General features: G+C 38.2%; 1 protein-coding gene and 1 pseudogene across 10 annotated transcripts in view; both read right to left on the bottom strand.

Moving 5' to 3' along the window:
• Nucleotides 1–13,862, bottom strand: part of ADAMTSL1 (ADAMTS like 1) — a 1,004,318-nt gene that overhangs the window by 747,172 nt on the left and 243,284 nt on the right. The gene's annotated exons all lie outside the window — the stretch shown is intronic.
• PUS7P1 (pseudouridylate synthase 7 pseudogene 1) lies at nucleotides 9,563–10,211 on the bottom strand (annotated as a pseudogene).

Genomic DNA, 13,862 nt, shown 5'->3' with positions numbered 1-13,862 from the left:
TGGATTCATTTCAAGGCTGATTAGAGCAATCAAAAACAATGCACGCAAATACATATTAATGCGAGAACCACTAGAACATTCTGGCATGTGGCTCCTCCAATGGATACCAGGAACATCCCCTGCTAAATTGGTGCCTCTTAACTGACGGGTGTACAATCTCAAAATCCAGTGATTACAGGTTATCTCTGTGGCCAGGTCCAATATGGTCAGGCTCCTAGACTCATCCCATTGGGCTATCCATGGATCTGAACTCATATGTGTCTTGGACCCACAGGGATCAATCCTTAGTCCAATAGATCCCAGCACCTAGATGGGTCCCCATGTCCAGTTAAATATTTACCACATAAGAAAAGCCTGGCCTGAGCCCAGAACTGACTTCCTGGGCTATTCAAGTGCTTTAGAACCAGATGTACTTTAGCTGCTCCGGAAGGAGGTATTGGAGAACTTTCATCTAGAGCTTATCACATTCCAGGTTCTTTACACAGGTTATCTTGTGACAACCCCAAGAGGTGTCTGTTATCAGCCACATTTTACAAATTAGGAACTAAAGGCACAAAGGGTTTCAGGAATTTGTCAAGTCAGTAAGTGTTGAAATCAGCATTCAAATACAGGTCTAACTCTAAAACTCTCATCTTTTCATTTTATCATTTGGCTACTGAGCTACTCAAGCTACCTCTGGTGAGAGGCAAATTGTTAAGTAACTCCTATACATTCAAGGTATAATCAGTTCACCCAGGCCTCCTCCTGCCTCTCTATGCCTCAGTTTACTCACTGTACAACAGGAATGATAACAATGTTGCATTGTTGAGAAAATAGGAAATAACATGTAAAATGCTTAGTGTGATGCCTTTCATATAGTAAGCTTTCAGTAAATAACAGCCATTATTATTATCAAAAGCACATTCTGCTCAAGGAACAAGTAAAAATCTAAGGTTCTAGCACATGAAATTCTTTAATCATATTTATAATATTTATAATGAACACGGTATATCACATTGTCTTTTTAACTCTCATACATTTTGCATTTTATACCTTTTTATGGTATTGCTAATATCAGTAATGAATATGTGGATGTTTATATTAATTTATACCTTCTTGAAAATAATGCATAATAAATTAGTCATTTTAAACCGTATGTCTTTTGGAAAGGGGTATACTCTTCTATAACATATATAATGGCATCTCATCAAGATGCTCAATCCATCAAATACTTTCATATGATACCAAGACAAAAAGGTCTTAATTAAACTTAAAATTCTGTTGTTATACAGAATAGTCAATATGACTGATGGTAGTAAAAAGAATCTTGGCCCCCAGCACCTATACACTCTGCTGTCACACACACTTGCTTTACCTGGCCAAAAGGACTTTGCAGATGTAATTAAGACTACTAATTAGGGTTAGTAACCTGGATTATCCAGGTAGGCCCAATGTAATCACATGAGTATGTAAAAACAAAGCTTTCTCCAGGCTGAGGGAGAAGAGGAAGTCAGCGATGTGACAGAGGGGGAAATCAAAGAGATTTAAAGTGTAACAAGGACTTGATTTGCCACTGCTGGCTTGAAGATGGGAGGGGCAGGGGCATGTAGGAAGCATGAGAAGGAAGCTTGAAAGAGGACCCCAGTCCTAGATGAGAACTGTTATCTTCAGCCAATATCTTGATTTTAACCCAGTAATACACGGACCAGAGAATCCAACCATAACTTGCCAGACTTCTGACCTACAGAAATTGTAAGATAATACTTTTGTGCTATTTTAAGCCTTTAAATTTGTGGTAATTTGTTATGGCAGCAATAGAAAACTAATACAGTCACTGAAAGGCAGGGCACAATGAGGTTATCTTGTTTCTTCTTCTACACTGAGTTTCATAAGAACTAACAAATACTAAACAAGAAGAGGTATAACTTGCAAAAACTGATTCATGGAAATGTAGCCTTCTGGCTAACCTAAATTACTCCTGCTACGTTTAAAATTAATTTTCTGTTAGTTCTTCCCCTATCAAGGACAATAATTCCTTCAGTCCACAGTTAAATATACTCCAAAGCCTGTCTTGACCATGTGTAATTCCCCTGCTCAGAAGCCTTCCCCACTTCTTGCTGGGTGCATTCAAAATTCATGGACTTGTTATTCAGGGCCACTCACAGCTCTTCAAGCTCTAGGTAAGGAATGGCTGTGCTTATGCAATTCTCTTTTTGAGAAAGATCAAGAACTGGGTTTACAGTAATCCAGAATTGACATGTTCTAATTTTGGTGTTTTTTGAAAGGACTAATGTATGTTGATCCCTGTTGAATCCCATATTTTATGAAACATTTCTTCAAAAATCCAAGGCTATTTTGAATTCTATTATCCAAAATGGTGATCACCTTTAGTTATTCGATGCCAATTCTTAAAAGCTAAAATTTGAAAAGAAGCCTAATGAACTTAGTTGCATTTTCTTTGTGAAAACTTCTGTGCCTACAAAAAGAAGTTTCTTTTGCTAAACCAATTAAATAGACAAAAATGACTCAAATATCCTCCAAAAGAGGTAGTAAGACATCAAATATAAAGGCTGAACACTCACTAATGCTAACAATGAAGAATAAACAGCCAACATTTTGTCTATTTATACTTTAATTTTTAATTATAGCTGTGTATTTGTTTAAGAAAGAATGTCTGCCTGCTTGTATTTCCCAAGAAATGCTCACATTTTATAAGTCTCATAATACATATCAAGATGTTCAATTTATCCAATACTTTTATGTAATATCAAGGCAAAAATTCTGAACTAAACTTAAAATTCTATTTAATCCTGGCCAGGCATGGTGGCTTATGCCTATAATCCCAGCACTTTGAGAGGCTGAGGCACGAGGAATGCTTGAGCTTAGGAATTCCAGACCAGCCTGGGCAAATAGTGAGACATTGTCTCTTAAAAAAAAAAAAAAAAAAAAAAATTTAGCCAGGTATGGTGGTATGTGCAGGTAGTCCCAGCTACTCAGGAGGATGAGGTGGGAGGATTGCTTGAGCCTGGCAGACAGAGGCTAGAGTGAGCCATGACTGTGCCACTACACTCTGGCCTGGGCAACAGAAATAGACCTTTCTCAAAAAAATTAATTAATTAATTAATTAATTAAAAAAAGAAATAAAGAAAATTGTATTTCCCATGCTCAGACCAGGATTCCCAATTTGGGGACTGGAAAACATGGTTACTTTACATTTGATATGTAAAAAAACACCTTGCAGTTTTAAGGTACTTAGCGTACAATAAAAATGCATTAAAGTTGGCATCCCTTTGCATCTTATGGTTCAGTGGTGTTAGTTTTGCAGAGAGAAAACAGAAGCATGAGAAGTGGAGAAATTGTATGTATGGCTAATGGCTATGTTAGGATTAGGGGCCAGAGAGTATCTCTTAAAAACTTAAATCTCTTCCGGATTCAACCCCCATTATTCACTCGCAGGAATAGGGTAAGGAACACCTTCTTGTCCCATGGGATTCCCAGACTCCTAAGGATAGTTCTCCAGGACATATGAAGACTGCCTAGAATTTGTGTCCTGTGATGAAGATTGCTTCTCCTTCTTGCAATCTGATTTCCCGCTTCAAACAGTGACCCCTCTTTCTGATTCATGGCACACCAAAGCATTCCTTAGAGAACCAACCCGGGAATACAGAAACACCAGCTTCCAGAATAGAATTGTATTAGATCCAGGAAGTCATGGAAGAAATCTGTTGTTGTAGAACAAATTCTCTTGAATGGGACTGATTGATCAATCATCTAGAGATGTTTCAGAGGGACATAGGTAAATATAGGAAATTAGGGAGTCATCAAATAACTTTCTATTCTCTACTTCATTAAAGGGAAAATGAGGTAAAGGTAGTTTAAAAATAAAAACAAAAGTCACTGAATAACAAGAATCTTTTGCATTTGGCTTTGGGATGCAGTCAGAAACTCAAACTATGTCTGCAATATACATTTTATACTCTATTTCACACTCACTTCGTTCATAACCTGGCACCAACCATTCTCTTGACTGACCTGACTTTCAGTGGCTCTAGAGAATACTGATTAGTATTCTGACTCATCAGCTCACAATTAACTTGTTTGGTGTAAAAGATAAAAATTTCCCCTCCAATTTTCCTACTTCTAACAAGTTTACTCTATGAGCTGTGACTGAAATTTGGAAAGTTAAAATACAGAGCAACCGGTTTGTCTTTTGGAACCTCTGCCATCATTAAAGAAGAGCCATAATTGCTATAAAAATTGTAATGTTTATGATGGGAGCTGATTATGAATAGAAATTCCACGTAGCTATAAAGTTCTTACAACTCTGGGAGAGGCAGCCATATATTTCTAGGCTAGGAGGAAGAGCTGTGGAAATAACTGAAGTTTAAACATACAAACATGCCCTGAAATGATCAGTTTATTGTTCTTCTTTCTTCATTTAGTTTTTCTGTGAAAACTGAATCATAGCCAAGCTCATGTCTCATGGGTAGGACTTAGGTTTCAACATTACTTAGGAAGAGTAGTGCTGAAAACCACACGGTTAAAAATTTTTTTCCTACCAAAAGGACTCTGTAAAATATGTTATGCCTGTATTTTGATTCATAGTTTACTGAGAATTAAGATAGTAAAGCTATACATTCTCAGTAGATCAGAATAATAATGCAAACAATATAAGTAACTGGCCACTGTATTATTTGAATGTACACCTATATTTAAATATCAGTGGATACTGAAATGCTTGATGTCAAGGTTTTGAGTTCTTGCTTGGCACAAGTAGAACATGCAAATGTTTAATGGATAAATAGCTGAATAGAAACATTTATTGGAGCCAAAACAATCTAGCTCCAGTTTTGAGGACCACTGCTAAGTATTAGGAGGAAATGATAACTCACATGATCTGAAGAGCCCAAATCTAGTCCTGCCACCCATATCATTACTACCTAATCATGAAAACTAAAGTGTCACAGAGATCAACAGAAGGAAGGAAAATCTGGTCCCAGTGTGAAAGTATAATTAACTTCTGGTTGGAAGGACATGCACACAAAGGACTAAAATATTGATATCCTAAGTCAGAAATGGGCATACTCCCAAATGAAATTGTACCTAAATTTTATAAATAGATTCTAAATAAAAATGAAAATAGATATATTCAACTTTATTAAAGATGTTGAATGGTCTGCCATTTGGTAATAAATTGAGTTTACCAGATTTCAGTAAATTTCACTTGTGATAAACAAGGGTCCCTGTTTTTGAAAGGGAATTAATACTTTGACAGCTTGCTCCTGGTAGGACTATTCTAATGAGCTTAAATGTCAAGGTGGGGATGGGATTCAGATCCACCCTCAATGGGCCTCTTTCCGTTAATCCAAAAAATCTTCATTCCTGGTTGGAATATTCAACTGTAGCAAGATAGGGAAATAATTGAACAGTAATTCAACTGTAAAGGATTAGAAAAAAATCATGAGCATATACATCTACTAAAGAAATTTCCTCATTACAACGTAGGAGGAGAATACTCTGGAGGTTTATAAGAATATGTACCAAAATAATGATATTTATAATATCTCTAAACTCATATTTGCCAATCAGAAGAGGCTCAATCAGCTTATCAAACATGAGTATCAACAACCCCTTTCTGCATGCACTCAAACACACCCAAACCTCTGGCCAGCTCTGCAATGAACTGGCCATTTATACAGAGAGCAGGAGGACATTGTCACTGAATAAACTGCTTTCAATGTTGAAAGGGTCCACTTAGAAAACCTTCTGTTTACCTCTGTGAGTATTTTTGGTTGCTGTGTTGGTGGGTGACTAAACGTTTTTAGACAGACACTCTGTAGTGACAATATACCTATGCATACATACTGCTCTATCAGGCTTGTCTGGGGGAAGAAAAAGATGCTTGAAGTAGCTTCAGGTGTTCACAGCTAATGGCTGCCAACTCTGCAAGCTGATTAGCAGTGTTATACTCCCTGAAGGAAAGGCTAAATATGATCCCCAAGAAGATCGTGGGGGTGGCTAATAAAAGCATTCTTATAACCATATTTAACCCATTGACATTTATATACCTGGTGTTTGGAGCTTAAAAACATTTCAGTATTCTGTTTGTTCTTCTACCAACTTTAATTACCATTTCTAAGGATTGTAAAGATAATTGCTAAGAGGTTAGAGCTGAAAGAAGTGAGATAGAACATGCTGGTCCAGAATGTTCAGCTGGGCCTCATAATTCTTGGTACAGATGTTCCTGCTTAGTTCGGGTCTGATTTAGGGAAACAGCTATAATATGGTTTGAGGCAAGGTGACCAGATGTAGCTGAATTTAAAGATCTGTCCCAGAATGTCAATGAAAAGAAACTCCATTACCCTAGCAAAATAGCCTTTATGGGGGGAACAAACTTATGTTTAAAGGCATACCTACTTTATCATTAAAGTAGATAGATATCTACACCTTGACAAGACAGGATTCTAAAAAGAAAACAAAATTTAAAAACTATTAATAAAACTATCAAACGTAAATCCCACAAACAATTCTGTAAAGAAGCTTATTCTCACAGAGCAGTGTATAAAGAAAAACTAGCAAAAGGAATTTTATCAGCGGGCATGCACTGTGTATAATGTGGGATTGATCTATAAACAAGCTATGGCATTTCTCTAACTTGTTATGAACACAGACACTGAAATGAAAATGCTGAGAAGACATTCAGCAACCATCTTCACCAAGCTGACTTTTTAGATGAGGAGGACATCACCTTCCTAGATGTAGGGTAGAGAGAACATGGGTTTTGAGACATCTTCCTTGACATATATAAGATGATAAAACAGCCAAATAAGAAAGGCAGCACCTTTCCCAAAACATAAAGCCAATTATCTTCTTCCTTATTGTCCCCAAACATTTAAAAACATATTATACCCCATTCCTTTCACGAAGGGAACAGGATTCTGTTTCCAAAGAGTTCTAAATACACTCTGCTTCAGAAAGCATTGCTGATAACAGCTATGATTCATACCTACACTTAGACAATGAAAGAACACATGAAACATAAGAGTTAGACTCTTCTGTACTCCAATCCTAGGTGGATGGGCACATTTTTATCACATCTTCTAATGACAAGGCAAAATAGACTTGGTCTTCAAAGCATGTGTGTGTGTGTGTGTGTGTGTGTATGTGTTTATGTCTGTGCTTTAAATCTTACATGTAAAATACTCATTCGATGCCAAGAATTAAAACAGAGAGTTGAACAGTTAACTGGAGGAGAATGTTAGGGTGAAAAATAGGAAGAAGAACATAAAAATGTCTACATACACATGCAGGGGTAGAAATCAACCTTTTTGGATTGTACACTTGGCAAATGTTTATATTGGTCAACATCATTATCTAGGCTTATCTAAAGTGAGTTGCTTAGGAGTTGGAAGTCAGGATACCACCCATACTTTAAATCAAGTTGAAGATAAATTGGCAAAGGAACTTCTTTCTTCACCCCTGCTTAGTTTACATTGGCTCCTTTCATGGCCATAAAGATGAACCATCCAGATCTCCTGCCACAGAGGAGTCTGTTATCTTAACCAAAAGATGGCCCTAGATGTTGTATTCTGAACCCACCTCGTTGTTTGCACTGAGGCCATGATTTCCGAGGGCTGTTCCAATGACTGAGCATAGCAGAGATACTACAGCAGGTTCATTCTTGAGAAAGGCAGAGCTCTCTGAGGATCGATTCTGCTCAAAGACTCCCCAGTCTGGCAGAAACTTTCCTAGCACTAGGCTGCAGTCTGAGACTCTTCCTCTCCAACCCTCTGTCTTCCCTCTCTCCACAAAAGATAGGCATGCATTCCGTCTGATGCACTGCAATCTGATAGCTCTTCCAGCATCCTCTGACCCCTCACCTTTTTTCCCAGTAAATCTCTTGTATTCCTAATCTTATCTTGGCAGGACAAAATTCTAGGAGGACCTAAACTCATAGCATCTCTTCTTTTGACCCAAGTACTATTGGACTAGACCTAATGTTTGCAATTTGCCATCCCTATCTGTATCAAAACAGGCCACCCAGTCTCCACGATGCCAAGGAAACGATGGTAACTCTGTTAGGGCTCCTCTCTTCTCTCTCTGCACTGACATCTCAGTTAATGCTCTACAGAAGGGGAGTCCAATCTTTTGGCTTCTCTAGGCCACATGGAAGAAGAATTGTCTTGAGGCATACATAAAATACACTAACACTAATGATAACTGATGATATAAAAAAATGACATAATATCTCATAGTTCTAAGAAAGTTTACAAATTTGTGTTGGGCCACATTCAAAGCTGTCCGGGACCACATGAGGCCCATGGGTCGCAGGTTGGACAAGCTTGCTCCACAGTGTTTTGAAGTAATGATCAGAACTAGTGGGTGACAGACAGCTCTGACTTTATCTCCATCATCATCACCCAGACTGGCTCCAAGTTCACTACCATTCTAGCATTCCTCTTCATCCTAGCACTAAAAGGCAGATGTGTTTCAGATCCTCACTATATCCAGTTAGTGCAATGAATTTAATTTCATACAAAGTCGGAGTAGTAAATTAAATCATTTCCTGGGCAATCTAACTCACATTGTTTCACAAACCTTAAAGTTTCTCTTATTACTGGCTAGAAGTCTCATCAGTATGTGTGAGTATGTCAAAGGAAACAAAATAGAAGAAAATAATTTGGACCCAAACAGATTTATTTCCCCTTCAAAAACAAAATGTTCAAGGCACAACTCTACAGATAGTGCTTTGGCATTATAAGTAGTGTAATTCTTATATCTGTGACTCACCACCTCCATCACCACCCACCAGCAACCCTCACCATACACTCCATGGCCTTGTCTCTGAAAAATGTAAATACACAAAATCAGGAGAAATGTATATCAGTATTTAAATTGTATATGTAACTTAAAGAATTTCAAATATTTACTCAGTATCTCAAGAAAATGCCTAAGAAAGGGGAAGGTTTCTACTTAATGCATAGCAAGCATTCTTCAATGTCCACTCTTTTCTTCCCACCCATTTCTGTCATTCTTGATGTACTTCACACAAATGGCAGCTAGTTCTTCAAAAAAATTGTTTTTGTCTCTCAAGTCCTAAGTTATTTTTGAAATTCAGTCCATGTATTCCTCGGGGGAAGAGAATCAGACTGCTGAATATATTTATGTATTACTCTTTTGTCATTTGTTTATATTAATAATATGTTGTTCCTGTTAAGGGAGCATAATCTTCATATGGACAGGAAAGCACTGCACAGGCACATATGTGTACACATGAAGCAGCCAAGTGGAGAGGCTGGGTGGAATAGGAAATGTCCTAAAACTGTTCACACAGACTCAGATGTTCCAGTGTCCCAGCTGAACCCAGCCTCTAGCTGTGCCTACGGAACCACCAGATATATGACTGAACCATCCTGAACATTCTATTCCAGCTAAGCTCTCCAAAGAGTGCAGCCCCAGTGGATGCACAAGGAGCAGAAGAATCATTCAGTTGAACTCGGTCAACCCATAAATTATGGGACATAATGATAATACTGTTTTAAACCACTACGTTTGGGTTGGTTTATTACATAACAATAGGTCAATGGAACACCATGGTAGCATATGTTGAAGTGGGAAAGGAAAAATTCATCTTCATAACCCACGTTTGCTTTCAGAAGCACAAAAAAGGGGTGCTTTTCTTTCTAGGTTATCCATATTTGTTGAAAAATGGGATTTTAAGATCATGATAGGTGCTGATCTTCAGCTGACACCGAGGAAGAATAACAGTCTTTTAGCAGGCCCCTGTGATTTTGTGTCTGATGCTATAAATCTCAAAATTACCTGCTGCCAGAATTTCCCTGTATGCCTCACTACTTTTGCCTTTAGGGTAGAAAACATTAAAGCCGTGTAATGATATTTCCATCTTAATGGATGGTGTCATTCTTCACATCTCCTTCCTCAATATAAGTGCCTATGGCTTTCTGTAAGTACTAGGTGGCTGGAAAAATTTTAGTATCATACTTTACTATTCTCTTGCTTACTGTGTTATTCTATACATGTTTTGGTAGCTGTGAAATGACATAAAGTGATTACTTCTTTATGTAATTCTAAGCGTAATGACTTTATTCCTCATTCTGCATTTTACAAGTCATCAAAGTCACTGCCTTTCACACATCCTTTGGAAGAAATGAGTTCAGGGCACTGTCAGGGGCTTCAGTCCTCACCCATTCTTCCCTGCATTGAACCAAGTACCTTTCAGCCTCAAAATGTGACCATGAGGCTTTAAGCTCCACAGATTAGGACTACTGCTATCATGCTCACCACTCTATTTTGAAAGCCTAGCAGTGCCTGGTACAGAATTGAGTTCTATAAATATATGAGTGGTAAATTAATGAAGGCTTTTTAAAAAATCAGTTATTAATTTTATAAATTTTAGAATTAGAGGCTTAGAAGTCATCTAATCTAGCTCCTTCTGGAGCCCAGAGAGAAGTAGATCGACTTTCCCAAGAGCATTTATCTAATAAGGGTCAGAGTATAGATTAAAATGTAGATTTCTTGATGCCAGTCATGTCCTTTCCACTCCATGGCTCCAGTGTCTCTATCCCCTGTTTGGGTTGTCTCTTCAAAGAGTTGGCAAGTATAGGATGTGGATGACGTGGATCATAGCTGACTGCAAGCTCAATGAATCAACAGTGAAATGTGGCTAATATAAATGTGAGCTGCTATTAAAAGTACAGTGTAGGAAACAAAATATATGACGGCTTTTTTTTCTACTTCATGCTGAAGAGATCATAAACACTGGTAGGGAGTTAATTTCTAGATGCCAAACTTTAAGAAGGACATTGGCCAAACCAACAATTTATAAAGAAAGAAAATATGATCATTGTTATCTGGAAAGCATTTGACAATCCGTGGGATTAATCAAGGGCATTTTGCCTAAGAAGGGGAGAAGTGAGAATATGTGAGAGCTGTCTTCAAGTACTTCTAAGACAGTGTCGATTTACTGGCCTCTGTCCTGCCCACTACCTTGATTTCTTTTTTTTTGCATTCTTGCTCTTTACATTCTGACTTCTGTCATCACTACTCCACTCTCTCCAAGCTCACCAAGGCTCGTCTTCCACCCACTGGCCCTCAGTCATCACCCTCTTATGATCATATCCTCCTTCTTGAAAATCTCTCCCCCTTGTTTTCTGTGGTAACTGAGAATGATGCTAACTCACTGGCCATTCCTTTGGTTTCTCATTTGGGGGGTCCTCCTGGGCCTCCAACCCAACAAACTAACCATAGATGATCCCAGGACTCTGTCAATGGGCATCTTTTCTTCTATTGTTTCTTGCCCTGCAATTCTTTTAAGCTCTCAGTGAGTCAGCCATCTCTTTTAGGCAGATGATTCCCAAATCCATGCATGGAACCATGGCTCTTATGTGGCGTGTTCTATATTTCCTGCATTCATATACTGAACTTTGCAGTGCCCTGTGCCTGGAATGCCATCCCTCCTATCTCCTTCTACTAAAATCTCATCAGTCCTTAAAGGCTGCTGTTTCTACGCATCCTCCAAGCACCTATAATCTCCCCTCCACAGAATCCACAGAGGTCCTGCTCTTGTAGCGAGATCTGGAGTCACAGGACCTGGGTGGAAGTCCTGGTTTACCACCTCTCTGCTGTGTGCTTTGAGTAAATTACTGAAACTGAATCTTAGGTCCTTCATGTGTAAATGAGGAAGAACAATAATACTTATCTTACAGAATAGTGGTGATAATTATGAAAAGTGATTTGTAAACTATAAAATGCTATACAGAGTTTGGTAATATATACCAGGGATTTCTTTTCACAGTATGAGCTAGTAGAGCATGTCCACTCAAACGAATTAGTATTTCCACCTTGACTGACTCACTTGGCTGACAAAGTGTGTGGACATTCCAATGTAAAGAAGACTGGCAAGGGGATATGGGACATTTATGTCATAATTTATTGAGATACAACTCCTGGCACCTCATTTTTAAACAAAAAAAGCACAGCATATTATTATTTATCTGATGGTATGTGTTTTGGGCCTTTTGTGTTTTGGGCCACATGTGTTTTGGGCCATGTGTCTTGTGGCCATTTGGGAATTCATCTTACCTTTCTTACTATGTTATAAAGATACCAAGGCCAGGGGCCCTAACCTACTGATCATGCTGCAAGGCCAAGAACAAGTATCTTAAACTTAGGATGTCTACTGTGTTTGTTGAATACAATGAAAATAAATTTGGCACATATAGTTCATCAAAGTGGAATTCAGCCCCTTATCTTGATTAAAAAAAAAACAACTTCAAATAATCAAATACAGTATATTGAACATTGGCTACTTAGTAGGTAATGAAAACCTTGGCACCAGAGGCATTCACACAGGAGCTGAAGAAAAAATTTAGAGGAATTCTGAGAGTCTTTCCAACTCTGAGAAACTGTGAATTAGCTAAAATTATTGCTAGTATTTCCACGGTTACTTCCCACATCCTCTATAATAGTAGATATAGAATAGATGTTCAGCAATTGGTGGTGACATTTACTCCCCCCACATTACAGTTGTGTAAAGGTTTTTTGTTTGCTGTTAGCATCTTTGGAGGACTGTCTAGTTTTTAGGCATCTAAATAACAGCCTCTTTGATCATGCATTAAGGTCACAGATGATGGATAACTCAAACACATTTGGATCTATGTATTCATTAAATAGATGGACTAGGTAACACAGAAGCCACCATAACACATTTTCCAGAATCAAGAATCTGAGTTGAATGGTTTTAAATGTTGCCCACATCCACTGCACTTCCCGGTTAGCTTCTTTCTTCATTCTCCACTGGGGATCCCATTTCTACTAGCCCCCTCCTTTCCTTCTATGCATATGTCATTGTCTCCTATTTCACAGAAAAAAAAAATAAGTCCTTTAGATTTGAATACCCTAAAATCACTGCCTCCCCAAACTTCTGTGCCCCTGAACCATGCTTCCTTCAGTCTCTCATGGGTTAACTTGTCTTTCCTGTTGATTAAGGCAAATCTCTTCCATCTGCACTCTGAATTCCATCCACTGCTGTCCCCAAAGGGATCTCATTCCATTATTTATTACTCTCCCCCCTCCTCTATATTGTCACTCTTTCCCTCCCATTGATTCTTTTCTCTATGCTCATCTCTTCATATCTTCATATTTAAGACAGAGAGAGCAAGAGCAAGCCTCTTCTCCACATTGTGTTCCTGTTCCTACTAGCCAAAGGTTTTCCTTCCTTTCACAGCCATGTTTCTAGAAAGAAGTCTTCACTATACTTCATGACTCCACAAACTCAGCAAACAGAAACTCTGACTTTTGATGTCATCATCCAACTAAAATTTCCCTGGCTAAAATTATCAATATCTTCCTAGATACCAAATGTAATAGGCATTTTCCAGTCTTCATTTCACCTGCATGAATTGTGACCTAGTAGGTCATCCCTTTTGCTTGAAACTGTCTTCTTTCCTTTCCATGACACCATACCCTTCAGACTGTCTTCCGTCTTCCCCATAGTTTGGTATTCCCCTGCCCATCCTTTAAAGGCTGTTGCTCTCTGGTGCTCCATTGTTATACCACTACTATCTTATTCTACCAATTATTCCTGGAAATCTTTTTCATAACCGTGGAAACAGACAGCACTGATACAATGACAACTTTCAAATATATGTACCTTTATTTCAAATTCCAGACACCTATATCCCCAATTGCCTATTAAGCATTATTAAACAAATGTCTCCCAGGAACCTCTAACTGAATAATTCAAATTGAATTTATTTCTTGTCCAGCCTTTCCAAATGTGTTCTTGCTTCTACAAACTCTGTCCATACTGGTACCACATCCTCCCAGGTAATCCAAGCCAGAAACTGTAAGTCTGCCTATAA

The sequence above is a fragment of the Homo sapiens genome, chromosome 9, assembly GCF_000001405.40.
Source record: "Homo sapiens chromosome 9, GRCh38.p14 Primary Assembly".
NCBI classification, from domain to species: Eukaryota; Metazoa; Chordata; class Mammalia; order Primates; family Hominidae; genus Homo; species Homo sapiens.
The sequence above is the reverse complement of the archived record's forward strand: the minus strand, read 5'-3'. Positions and strand labels throughout refer to the sequence as shown.